This window comes from Homo sapiens, chromosome 7 (assembly GCF_000001405.40).
Source record: "Homo sapiens chromosome 7, GRCh38.p14 Primary Assembly".
Classification (NCBI taxonomy): domain Eukaryota; kingdom Metazoa; phylum Chordata; class Mammalia; order Primates; family Hominidae; genus Homo; species Homo sapiens.
The window spans coordinates 49773015-49786957 of record NC_000007.14 but is presented as its reverse complement, the minus strand read 5'-3'; the positions used below and the strand labels follow the sequence as shown (position 1 = coordinate 49786957).

The 13943-nt window shown below is 46.4% G+C and overlaps 1 protein-coding gene across 5 annotated transcripts in view; it reads right to left on the bottom strand.

Moving 5' to 3' along the window:
- VWC2 (von Willebrand factor C domain containing 2) overlaps positions 1 to 13320 on the bottom strand; it is a 148568-nt gene extending 135248 nt beyond the window's left edge. For 4 of the 5 annotated variants that reach the window (XR_001744720.2, XR_001744721.2, NR_136188.1 and 1 more), the window contains exon 1: positions 10827 to 11625. Coding sequence is in view for 1 of the 5 variants with exons in the window: in NM_198570.5 (NP_940972.2) it covers positions 10827 to 11522 (696 nt within the window). In the remaining 4 variants the exon portion in view is untranslated. Of the gene's footprint in view, positions 1 to 10826; positions 11626 to 12844 lie in introns of those variants that run through there. The other variant, NM_198570.5, reaches the window with a different exon arrangement.
- Between the last annotated feature and the right edge of the window lie 623 nt (positions 13321 to 13943).

Genomic DNA, 13943 nt, shown 5'->3' with positions numbered 1-13943 from the left:
GTGAAAGAATCTATCCACAGAGTAAACAGACAGTCTACAGAATGGGAGAAAATATTTGCAAACTATGCATCCAACAAAGGTCCACCATCTATAAGAAATTTAAACAAATCAGCAAACAAATAACAAATAACTCCATTAAAAAATGGGCAAGAGACATGAACAGACACTTCTCAAAATTAGACAAACAAGCAGCCAACAAGCATATGATAACATGCTCAACATCACTGATCATCAGACAAACACAAATCATAATCACAATGAGATACTATCTCACACCAGTCAGAATGGCTATTATTAAAAGGTCACAAAATAACAGATGCTTGTGAGGCTGCAGAGAAAAGGGAGCACTAATACACTGTTGGAGGGAATGTAAATTAGTTCAGCCACTGCAGAAAGTAGTTGGAGATTTCTCAAAGAACTTAAATCAGAGCTACCTATTACCCAGCAATACTATTCCTGGGTATATACCCAAAGGAAAATAAATCCTTCTACCAAAATGACACATGCACTCCTATGTTCATTGCAGCACTACTCACAATAGCAAAGACATGGAATCAACCTAGGTGCCCATCAACGGTGGATTGGATAAATAAAATGTGGTACATATACACCATGGAATACTACATAGTCATAAAAAAGAATGGAATGATGTCCTTTGCAGCAACATGGATGCAGTTGGGTACCACTACCCTAAGTGAATTAATGCAGGAACAGAAAACCAAATACCACATGTTTTCATTTATAAGTGGAAGCTAAACATTGGGCACTTATGTACACAAAGATGGGAACAATAGACACTGGAGACTATGAGAGGGGCGAGGGAGGTGGGCAAGGGTTGAAAAACTAACTGTTGCATACTATGTTCAGTACCTGAGTGATGTGATCATTCTTATCCCAAACCTCAGCATCACACTATATACCCAGGTAACAAATACCTTGCAAAAGTCTTCTGGGGGAAGGCAAACAATGTTGCCCCCAGCTGAGCTCCACTGGTGTACAGCTTAGTAAACAGTTAAGTTTTATCCACTCCTTCTTGATTCTGTGACTTTGCTTCTGGGATCATTTTCCTTCTTCCTAAATTTCATCCTTTAGACTCTTATTTTAAAGTTCTTTTAGTAAATATTTTTTGGTGGTCAGCTCTCTATTGTATAAAGTATCTTTCTTTAGGCTCATTCCTGAAGGACAATTTTGTTGGATACATCAATCGGATTAACACTTGTTTCTCTCTTATTTAAAAATATTCTCCTACTGTGCTGTGTTTTCTGTTGATCAGATGTCTGCTGTAAGCCTACTCACTGTTATTCTGGATGTAATGTCTTCTCTGGTTGCTCTGAACATCTTTATTTTGCCTTTGTTGTTCTGCAGTCTCTATAATATGGCTGGATGTGAATATATTTTTATTTATCTTTCTTTAGATTCATTGGGTTTCCTGAATGAGAAAATAGATGTCTTTCAACTAGAAAGTCTTGGAACTGCCATCTCTTGGAACTATCTTAATTTCTCCCATACTCTACAATCTCAGAATTCTAAGCAGAATTCTAAGCAGACTTTCAACTAGAAAGTCTTGGAACTGCCGTCTCTTGGAACTATCTAAATTTCTCCCATTCTCTACAATCTCAGAATTCTAAGCAGATGTGTGGTAGATCTTTTCACTCTATCCTCCATGTATCGAAACATCTCTTTCCTGTGTTCCATCTATATGTCTATGTTTCATACTAGTTAACTTCTTCAGATCTGTGTGCTGGTTTGCTAATTATATCTTAAACTGCATCTAGTCTACAACTGTTAATCCCTCCCATTGAATATTAATTCCATGGGATTGATATCATTCATTAAATGTATCATTCACTTAAACAAGCTTTATCTGATTCTTATTCAAAGCTGACTAGGATTGGGGATATATTTCTGTTCTTTACCCATGCACTTTATTCCAGCATTTTCTTTATATGTATATATGTAAATAAGTATATATCAAATATACTCATTTTACATCCCAATATCTGGGTCTGATTCAACTGCTTTTGCCTCAGCTGATTCTTGCTCACATTGCCCTTTCTTCTTGTGAGTACTTTTTCTTTTGAGGTCACATTACTTGGAACACTACTTGTGGGAATTTTTTGCAGCCTGGGTGAAGGGTGCATTCACCCCGTGTGTGTTTGTTTAGATCAGATACCTGTTGATCCATTTAAAAACACATATTCCATTTGGACTTTGCAGACCACACAGGGAAGCATGAATTGGGCTCCACATCCATAAGAGGGTAAGCCTGCTACAGATGGCAATGACTTGGGGAAAACACAAACATTTCTTTCTCCTCTGGACAGAGCCAAGGCCCATTGAAAGATGTTTGCCTACACTGTCCCATTGCAGTACAGGCTCTTGGGTGCCCTGGCTTTATAAGATAGATCCTGATCTGATTCTTTCTACTTGGGGACCTGAACTCTTCACGTGCCACAACCCGGTAATGATTGGCCATGAGTGCCAAGGGCCCAGGCCCCAAGATCAAGAGATGCTCCCAGACAGCCACAACTTCAAGGCAGACTTTGCTCTATGGATTCCAACTCCACCTCTAGAAATTAATTTCTCTTATTTTCTTGCCACTTCAGCTGTGCTTTTAAAAATGAATATAGAATGTGAAATGACAGACAATGGAGACTCAGAAAGGTGTCAGGGATGGGGAGGGAGTAAATAATGAGAGATTATGTAATGGATGCAGTGTACATTATTTGGATGCAGTGTACATTATTCTGGTGATGACTACACTAGAAGCTCTTCCTTCACCACTACGCAGTGTATCCATGTAATAAAATTACACAGTACCCCATCAATTTATACAAATAACATTTTTCTTTTAAAAATATGTGTTTTATATGATATTCAGGATTTCAGGCATTTTGTTGAAGGTGAGTTGTCAGGCTATCCTCCATATTCCCAGGAAAGGAAGGAGAGGTCTCATGTTTAAAGCATCATCACTTTTGCTATTCTTGGATACTTGGAAATGTGCAGAGCCACCTGGCATTTTAATTTCTTTTCTTTTTTTTCTTTATTTTATTTTATTATTATTATTTTTTTTAGAGACAGGGTCTCACTATGTTGCACAGGCTGGTCTTAAACTCCTGGGCTCAAGTGATCCTCCCAGCTCGGCCTCCCGAACTGCCGGGATTATAGGCATGAGCCACTGTGCCTGGCCATGGAGTTTTAATTTTCAAGCTCTATGCTTTTCCACAGGCCTAAGGCTTCTGAGAGAACTCACAGGGCCCTCGGCAGAGGCCTGACATCATCCTTTTCCACAGATTTGAAAGGCAGTCTATGTCCTGGCCGCACCCCAGTGCCCGACAGAAATAGAATGAGAAGTATGATCCAGCTGGCAGGATCTCAGCCTTGGAACAGACAAGCAGTAAGAAGGATTTCCAGCTACGTGGTCAGAAAAGTACCATGAAGGATGGTCACAGGGTAGGTAGGCCTGGGTGGGAAGCCATATCCTTCATGCAAACTCACAGTTGTTACATTTGATACACTCTTTTCTTTTCCCTAGAACATCTGGCCCAGGATTCCTCTGTCATTTAAAAACAAGCCATCAACAACAGTGGAGTCTATTAATAATAATAGAGTGGCTTCTACTGTGTGCCCCCTTGACCCCCTGACCCAAGCTCTCACAGTGCCTCACACACCACACTACTGCTGCCTGTCTCCTGGAGGGGGCCATTTACTTCCCGTCACATCTCTAGGATGCAGCCCAGGGCCTCACACACATGGTGTCCTAAATATTTTCAAATAAATGTAAGAATAATGTTTCCGTTGGGACTTATCAGATTTAGAGATATCATCTGAGGAGGTAATGTTTTATGGAAAAGCAGCTCCATGGAGCCAGTCCCTAATGATTAGAGGTTCTACAAGAGTCCTTCTAGAGACCAAAATCTGGACCAGGGCGTGGCTACCTCCCCCTGAGCTGCACACTCTGCAGAACTTGTCTAAATATCCACATGAACTTTGTTCAGAGCTTTACAGGTTCAAATTGCTTTCACATACATCTTATTTACTTCTTATAATGGGAGAGGAATGCAGAATACTATCCACTTTTTTTTCTTTTCTTTTCTGTTTTTTAAGATGGGGTCTTATGCTGTTGTCCAGGCTGGAATGCAGTGGCCCAATCATGACTCACTGCAACCTCAAATTCTTGGGCTCAAGCCATTCTCCTGCCTCTGCCTCTCAAGTAGCTGGGTCTACAGGTGAGCACACCAACATGCCTGGCCTTTTTTTTTTTTTTCAATTTGTTGTAGAGATGTGGCCTCACTATGTTGTCTAGACTGGGCTTGAACTCCTGGACTCAAGTCATCTTCCCACCTCAGTCTCCCAAAGTGCTGGGATTACAGGGATGAGTCACCACACCAGGCCCCATTATCTTTTTTTTTTTTAACCACTAGAAAACAAGGCTCTGAAAGTTGTCCAGGGAAGCACTGGATAAAACAGAACCCCATTCACCCCACCGTTCAGATGATAAGTACCCTGTCCTCAAAGTCCCAGAAGCTGATTCTCCACCAAAACTGAAGAGGAAAGGACTGGAGAGCATGGGACCTGCTTTCCTAAACCTCCTCATGATATCAACTGCCTGTATGATTTTGGAGGGGGCACTAATTTTCTAAGGTGAATTTTCACTGCCTATGAACAAGAGGCTTTTCAAAGTCATGTATTTATTTACAGGAGCATGGGTGAATCACACATCTGCAAGGGGGGTGTGGTCAGCTGGAAAACAAATGCCCTCCCAAAGGGGCAGCCCTGCCCAGCTCTGACAGATGGCTGCCATCTGGGAATCATTTCATTTTTGTAAGAATTAGGCAATCTGGGAATTTATATGAACCTCCCGCTTGTCAAATACAGGCACTAGTAAACAAATGTTTTATATGCCATGAGCCAAATAGAATACCTCCTAGAACCAGATCTTCCTCTTGGGCCACCTGTTGCCCCACATGGGTCTGATAATCCCTGGAGTCCTACCTGCCTCTTGGGATCTAGTCTTCTTTTCACTGCCCCCTGGACTCATTCCCCCTTGCTCTCAGGGAAATCCTGGGACTAAGTGCTTTTAGTCCCATTACGACTCAAGACTTCATCCTTTGAAGGACACAGACATTATTTTGTTCATCAGATGGCCAAGTCAAATATGACAAATCCATGTAAATAAATGCTTAGCCAAGTGGATCAAGCATTTATTGGACATACATATAAGCAAGGCACTCTGGGCTTGTATAACTTTTCCTTTTTCCGGGTACCTGAAATGTTCTCCACCACACGCAAAATGCCACTTCATCACCATATGGTCACGAAGACACTATGCACGATCTTCAGAGTCCAACACGCTAGGATTCAAATCCTGTCTTCACCATTTACTAGCTCTATGACCTTGATCAAGCTATTTAACTTTTTCGGACCTTAGTTTTCTCTCCTTTAAAAATAAAGAAAATACCACCAACTCAGTCTGTTGTGTAAATTACTCCAGAAAAGCCAATATATAAAAAATATTGGCACTAGATAAATATTGATTCCCTTCTGCCCACTGTAAAAGATTATGGTGTTAATTCTATCATACTTCACATCAGATATTGTATGGAACATGCAAATAAGCAGTTTTTAAAGCTGTGTTTCCCCCACCTGAGTTAGGAACACATCTAAAGAGTCTAGATATGGCATATGACTCCCTCTTTAAAAAAAAAAGTCACTGTTTAAATGGCTTTAGACACAAGGGTAGAAAATGAGAAGTAGAGAATTTACAAAATCTTACTCAGAACCAAAACAAACTCAGAGACAGCAACAGTACATGCATTAGCCTGACTTGCAGAAAAGAACACAGATTGACTCATTTTACTTAGTGAAGGTGGATAATAATAGCATTGTTTTCAGTTAAGTAACATCAGCCAAAAGAATATAAATACCATTAGACTGAAAAGTGTGAATAACCGTAGCTTTCTCTTTGCTGGCACTTTCTCATAATTGATATAGAGATCTATTTAGATGAAGGTTTTGATTCCAAATTTCATGTTCAAATTTTTTTAATTGATAAAAACCTAGAAATAAGATTTTGCAGTGGGGTTAATGGCAAGTCAGATACGGAGGCAGTCAGAGAGAATTTGGTTTAACTCAGTGGTCCCAAATCATTTCACCTCCAAGTACCCCTTCCTGTTATCTCTCTCTCAACAGTTCTTATGCTTTGAAAGACAGTCTAGTAAGCTTCACTTATTAATAATTCATCTTCCCTTTTTCTTCAAAGACTTATACAATTGCCAATCAGAGCTCCTGATCGGCTACGATAACCAGTGTTGACACACTTTGCTGATATCAATCCTACCAAAAGCAAAGAAATGTGAAGATTTAGTTATCCTGTATGGCCCTATTTCAGAGTCACAAAAATTCCATTAGGTTTTATAAAACATGAAATAAGCTTGCAAACTCCCCTTTCCACCATCACAGTCCTCCAGGAGACCAAGATTCCCATGATGAAAACAACTTGTTTTGTTGAGCAAAATAGAATGATTTTTTTTCAATTAACACATTTCAAATGTGATTTGCTTCTGAACAAATCATGTGGCCACTGAGGCAAAATTTACAACTGCTCAATACAGCCCCTCTCCCTACCCTTAGTCACCTTTTAGTTTTCTGTGACACAAGGATCCATTCACATAAGTAATACAGGAACTCCTAAAGTAGCTCTCAGAATGCAATAGACACAGAATCAGAATGGTCAAGTTGAGCCCCTCAGTTAATGTTCATTGGCATACACTTCATCACCACTCACTCCGTGCCTTCGTCATAAGCACTGTTTTCCCATCATGTGTGCTGATGCATCCTCACACACCCCACTGTTACTACCTCGTTAGGTCTGTTTTAGGAAGTCAATTTTGGTCATTGACACTATGTTTTGGGCTAACCTGTGTGCTTCTACAATTCAAATTTTGAAGTCCTCACGCCAGTAGCTAAGAATATGACTGTCTGGAGACAGGTCTTTAACGAGGTAATTAAGTTAAAATGAAGTCAGGCCCCAATCCAATATGAGTGTGTCCTTATAAGAAGAGGAGATGTGGACACAGACAGATGCAGAGGGAACACCATGAGAAAACACAGGAAGAAGATGGACATCTGCAAGCCAAGGAGAGAGGCCTCGGAAGAAACCAGCCCTGCTGACACCTTGATCTTGGACTTCCAGATTACTTGGAAATGTGGAAGTCTGAAAATCTTGGATTTCCAGATTTATTCCAAGACAACAAATTTCTGTTTAAATTACCCAGTCTGTGTTACTTTGCTCTGGCAGCCCTAGCAGACTAATGTACTGTAGGAAGCAGAAAACAGTTAAAAATATCATTCCTTTACTGAAAAAAAAAAATAAGCCAATAGACAAGTTTCCTTATTCAAAGTTGGATGCCTGCTGGTATAAGTTAAAGAAAAAAAGACACTTGGTATCATTTGAGAGGCAGTGGAGAAAATTCTACTATTAACTATGTTTTTATTTGGATGTACAAATTAAATTACAACCATCCCTGGAGGAATGAACACATTACTCTCATTATTATTAGCAGCTTAATGGTATTTTGTGGAGTCAGTGAGATCTTTCACAAGTATCTAACTGAGATCAAACAGGCTGTAAAGAGAGGAAGTTTTAATGGGGTAAAAGAGTACAGAAAGAAGGGAAAAAACAAGTTTAGAATATGCAGAAAACTGAGTAGAGAAAGCAGCAACAAAACATGCCCAAAGAAAGAGAAGCCTATGAAGACAGGGAGAAACCGCACTCCTGCCGGAGCCAAATACCCTGCACATCACAAGCACAGCCAGGCTCTGGAGTTAATCTACTGCTCAAAGAGGGTCAAGCCTCCATCAATAACTAGTAATTTCCCCTCTCTCTCTGTCTCTGTCTCTCTCTCTCTCTCTCTCTCCCTCTCTGGAAGCAGAGAACAGACTGTTAAAGGATCTATGCATCTTGCAGGGACTGAGGCCCAAATAATCTCACTTTCACTTCCTTCCTTGCTAAAGTAAACAGTGTTCCAGGCATGACCCGACTGTACCACAATCTCCATTTGAATCACATTTTCTTCAGAGAAGTGCAAAGCACTTCAGACAGAATGCTTTCCTTTTTCATTTTCCATGTACTTTGTGCTATGCACATTACAGACTACAATCTCTCTCTGAAACCCAGAATACCCAGAGCAGGCATGTTAACAATTTCTGTGCCCTGGTACTCAGCATCATGACAAATCTCCATTACTGCAACCCACAAAGCCCGTGGACTCACAACTAACCCTATACCATTCTACATTCATATTTTCAACATTCTTCAAAAAAAGCATTGCTTTCTCTTTTGTACATTGAAGGAAACAAAAATGGAGACAATAAATGGCTTGCACAAGGCCACGATAAATTAGCAGAATGCCTAGAAATGTTCCCGATACTAACAAAAATGAGCAAACATGCTCTAACACTATAAAATCTTTATGTAGTTGACATATTGTAAGAACAAGCATATAATTAAAAATATGTAACAACTTTGCAACGTTCAAGCATGTGTGCATCCCAGCATCTGGTAATAAATGATGAAAGTTTAGAATGAAACGTCATTTGAAGATGGAAGATGCACTTAATATTCCAAAAATAGCTTTACTGGTATTTTAATTCTTCCTAAGATTGTAATCTTTCCAATTTCCCTTTTGTCAATATCATCTCCCATCCTCAGAGTTTGAAAACACATTCTACCTATGGACTACCAAACAGGTAGCAAAGAGGAAATTAAATGAGAGATCCCTCTCCTCCATAGACAAAAGCAGCTTCATGGCTGCTAGCATTTAGCATGAATTGTTAAGACAGAAGTTTGAATTATTTCCTTTACCTGTGATCTCAGGTAGGTAAGTGGACACTGAAGTATTTGGGCTTACTAGATCAAAGTGCTACTAATTCCTCAGTTTACTTCTAAGGACAATTCCAGAAAATTACTATGAAACTATAAATAGTGCAAACAACAAAAGGAATTAATTAAAAACCAACTGCTTATCTTTGACTTTAGAAGAGCCGATGATGTTACCAATTCAAAACTTAAGAGAATTGTTCTAGTGTTCTATGACCCTGCTCCAGGCCAAAATGGAAGGCCCCTCCTCTGAGCTCTTCTAGCACCCACAGGTTCCTTTACCTGGACACATTTGCCTGTGAACTTTTGTTCTGCACCCAAAACACCTGGAGAGATATCTACCAGACCCTCCCGTAGGCAGGAAGCATTTTGAGGGCAGGGTTTCTGATTTAGTTAATTTTGCATGGCCTGGGCGTGGTTCATATGAGTTGCTCATCCCAGTTGTCTTTCTCCAAAGGGCTGCAGTCAAATGTGAGTACTTAAGCAATGTATGCCTGGAGTTATATTTTGCTACATGAGCCTAGGGAAAGCTGGCCCCTTATCTTACAGATAAGAGAAAAGAAACCCAGAGGGCATATGTCTTTTGTTCCAGTCCTGCAGCTGGTTAGTGGTAAAGCCAGAATGAATAACCATGTTTCCTGACTCTAAATTCCAGCACTCTTTCCATACTTTGTACACTATATATAGATCTGTCCTTCCTGGCTTTGTACTTATATAACACTTGATAATTCATTGCCACAAGTCAGTAATTACATGGGCTTCACATCCTGGGAATTAGCAGATCTCACAGGCTAATTCCAGGAGGGGTATTCCAGCAGAATTCCTCCCTAAACCTTTGCTTTAGTAGCTGCACGTTCCATAACGCCCTCTGCAGGTGGGAAAAGGACAGCTATGGCCTGGTAAGTCAATGGGCTAAGTCCAGGCAGGCCATAGGTTGAACCTACCTTGAGGTGTTTGGAATAACTGAACACCTGTGCAGGTCTCTCTCAGGCCCCTAGCCCACTGGCAGAGATTTTACCTAGAGCCTGTGCATGCATGCTGTGCAGCACCTTCACCCAAACTAAAGCCCCAGTGGAGCTGGGCTTTTGGTTCAAGTAGAGTATAAGGGTTAAAAACCTAAGCTATGGAGTAGAACTGCTTAGTTTGACATATGAATCTGTTTCTTAATAGCTGTTCTGCCTTCAACACATTATTTAAATATTCTGTGTCTGTTTCCTCTTCTCCATAACATGGAGACAATGGATAATAATCCACCTCCTAGCATGGGATGAGATTTAACTAACGTACATGAAAACCAGCGGGATCCTGACGCACAGTAGGCATTAGAGAGATGGCCGGTATTATTAACATTACTACTACTCATCTGAAACAAAACAATTTTTAACCATTAACTGCACTTGTTGGTTTCACCATCCACTATGATTTGGCACCCAGTGAGCAAATATTTTCTTTTTCTTTTAATTTTTAGAACATTTGCATGATACCCTAAACACATAATCTAGGGAAATGGCTTTTTATATGAATAGTCTCCCTTAATTAGCTATTAGTTGAAGAATATATCCCAAATGGTACCGTAAATTACCCTGTGTTTGAAAGCAGGTTAAGAATTTCACCGACAACATTCCCAAATTAGGAGCAGTACATTAATGTTGAAAGTCCCTCCGATACCTGTTGGGATCCTTCCCTTCAGTGCCATAGGCTTCATCCTCATGAAGCCCTTTTAAAGTGAACACCGAAGGAATCCCTATGGATTGGCCACAGTGCTCTGGGAAGGATTACCTCTGCCCTGAAAAAGAGAGGTCATGTCAAAGGGACGTGAGCACAGTGCTCTCCACCTCTCAGAACCAGAGAGCACCTCTTCTTCAAAGTGGGGGACCACAGAACCAAAGCTGTTCCACCCCTTCCTGGAAGGTGCAAAGTCGCCCGGCGGGCGTTCGCATCTTACCACGAACTCCTCCAAAGTCTGATAGGTCTTGCCCCGGAACTCGCAGTAGTTCTTCCTCTCCTTGCACTGCGGGCAGCACTGGCTCGTGTCGACGTGGATGCAGCGCGGGTGCAGCCTCGGGCACTCGGGCTGCGCGCACAGCGGCCCCTCCTCGGTGCACAGGCACGGGCAGGCCGAGGGGCCCGGCGCGAACTTCTCCCCGATCGCGTACACGAAGCCGCTCTCGTCCACGCAGCCCTTGCCACGGTAGTCCGGGTACACGTACTCCTCGGGTGGCTCGGGCGTGGGCGCGAGTTCCGGGCCAATCGCGTCCTGGGCGGCTGCGGCCAGGGCTTCCGCCTGCGGGGTGTCCCCGCGGGGCCGGACCTGCAGATCCCCGGCCTTGGCGCCCCCGCCCTGGGAGACCCAGGCCTGCTTCAGCTTGCTCCACGGCTCACGGCCGGCGAGCCCACGGCCGCTCTTGCTCTTCCAGTCCCGGCCGCTGCCGCCCTCGTCCCTCGCCGGGCGCCCGAGCTCGTTCACCCGCCCCGGGCCGTCCCGAGAGGCGTGCTCACGCTTCTCCTGGCCCGGCTGCTCTGGTGCCTGGGCCAGCTTCTCCAGCGGGATGCTCGGACTGCACAGAGCCACCATCAGGCAGCAGGTGACCAGGAGGGAACTGGAGAGCGCGCCAACTGCCATCGCAGTGGAGCTGGGCATCCCCTACCACGTCCCGGCGGGCGGGCGGGCGGGGAGCGCGGCCGAGGGGCGAGTCGCATTCACAGCCCGGGGGCGCGCCGCCGCCAGCCGGGAGCCGCCGTCCCTGCGGAGAGAACAGCAGCACAACTGAGCCCCGCGGCCCGCGCGCGCCCCGGCCCGCCGCGGCCCCCACCCGGGCTCCGGCATAGCTCTAGATTAACGAGCTGGGCGACGGGGGCGGGGGCAGCATGCCCAGCGTCGGTGCACGGCCGGGGTTCTTAGACATCACAAACTGTGGAGCGATACATTGGAAGCGAAATCCAAGAACGACACCGGCCGGCGTGTTTCTGATGTAGTCGTGATTAGTGTTGGAGATGGCCAAGGGCGGCTTGCGGAGCCCAGGGAACGCAGCGAGCCAGGCCCGCGCCCCCCTGCAAAGCTCTGCCTTGAACCACGTAATTCAGGCACCCAGGGTGTCCCTCCCTAGGTCCTGGCCACATTTCCCGAAGGTTATTAAATGGAGAATTCAGCAGTGGAGTTAGAGACGGACGAATGTACAGGAAGATAAGAGGGAAACTCTTCCTCATTTGCTTTAGGGGGTTGTGCTGGGAAAATGCGGGGAGGTTAAACAAAGCTTCTCCTAGGACTCCACGATTCATTTCTAACAACTTCTTAAAAGACTCCCGTCTCGGGAGCAGACGCCCCCTCCCCGCTCTCTAAGCCCCGCTGCATGAAAGGATGCCCTCGGCCCCTTGCCAGAGGGCCGGGTCGGGGATTCCCGGGGCTTCAGCTCCTCTGCCGGCCCGCCCCTCCGAGCCTTGGGAGCCAGGTCGCCGGCCGCAGCGCTCAGTCTTGTAGTGTCCTGGCTGCGGAGCAGAAGCGCCCGGGCAGCACCAAGGTGTGCAGTGCGGGAGGCTGGGGCCCCAGGGCGCAGAGTGGGCGCGAGACCCTCCTACTCGCTGGATCCCGGCCAGCCTTTCTGGATTCCAAAGTTTCTGCCGCCCAAAGGGGCTGGGAGAGCCCGAGACGCCGCAGGACACCGGCAATCCAGCCTCTCTCCGCCTCACTCCCCGAACGCCCCCACTCTGCGCACTCCGGTGCGTCTGTCCCCTCCCCCTCAGCCCTCCTCCCTGAGGGCTCCGGACGTGCCCGGCCCTGCTGACCCCCTGCCCGGTCCCTGCCGACCTCAACACTGGGCGAAGCGCCCATATTCACAAACTTGGGCGGGGGAGGGGGTTCCTCCGGAGCAGCTGAGCGGCTGAACCCAGCTGGAGCGCGTCCGGCCGCGCGGGGACACCCAGCATGCACCCTCAGCCCTGAAGACCGGCGCCAAACCTACATACATGAGCGCAGGGCGCGGGCCGGACGCCGGGCTCGCAGCGGGCGCAGGGGTAGCAGCGGCGGGCGCGGGCCCGGGTTGCCAGCGCCCATCCTGGGCCGGCCGGCGACCCGCGTGGGGCGGACCACTAACAGCCCAGCCCCACCTGCGCGCTCCGCCTGGCGCGCACACCGGGCTAGGGCGTCTCTGGGGAGTCGCTCATCGCGCTGTCAGCTGCCGGTAGTCGCGGCCCCAACTCGCGTCAGTGCCCGCGTCGCCCTCAGTCGCTCATCCTCCGGCCTCGTCCCCGCTTCTCCGAGACCAAGCGCGCCCCGGGGGCCACCCTGGCGCCGCCTCGCTCCTCTCCGCGGAGGGGTTCGGGGAGCTCTCCAGACCCGGCAGCCGGAATGTCTGGGCAGCCGTGGCGCGTCGGAGGGAAAAGAGAAGCCCGGAGCGCGGCCGGCGCGCGAGTGGCACCGAGGCCAGCATGGGAGCTAGCGCGCCCGCCTCCCGCCTCCCCCTGCCGCAGCCGCCTCCGCCCGGCTCCCGTTCCGCTCCCTCCTCTGCTGCCCCCGCTCTGGAGGCCCCGCCTTGGCCCGCGCTGCCCCGGGGGAGGCCCTCGCGCTGCCCCCGGAGAGGCCCTACCGCCGCACCCGCTCCCTTTGCTGCGCCGGACCAACCTGTCACTCGTCCGCGCGGCCGCGTCCCCACCTCCGCAGCCGGCCGCAGACCCTGCCAGGGCTGCCATTCTCCAGTCGAGTCATTCACTTTGCGCTGGACCTTTCATCTTGGCTTTTCTCTTTTCTTTAATTTCTTCCTTCCTAATTGGCCCCCTCTGGCTTTCCTCTTTGTGGACAGCTTGTTTCAGCTACTGTGTTCAGATTGGGATTCGAAGGCCGTGTTAGTTTAGCAGACTGTTGAGACTTTCTCGTCTTTGCATTCAGAAACCCAGAGAAATAGACGTTTACGAGTAAGAAACGTAAAAATCTCAAGCGCGAACTTTCTGAATCTCTGCCAATCTCTCCCCGCTCCCATCTTCCTCTTTCTGCCTGCTCTCTCTTCTACTACAAATAGAAACCTGTTTCCTAACTTTGCTAGAATCCTCAACTGTTAAGCAGAGGCCC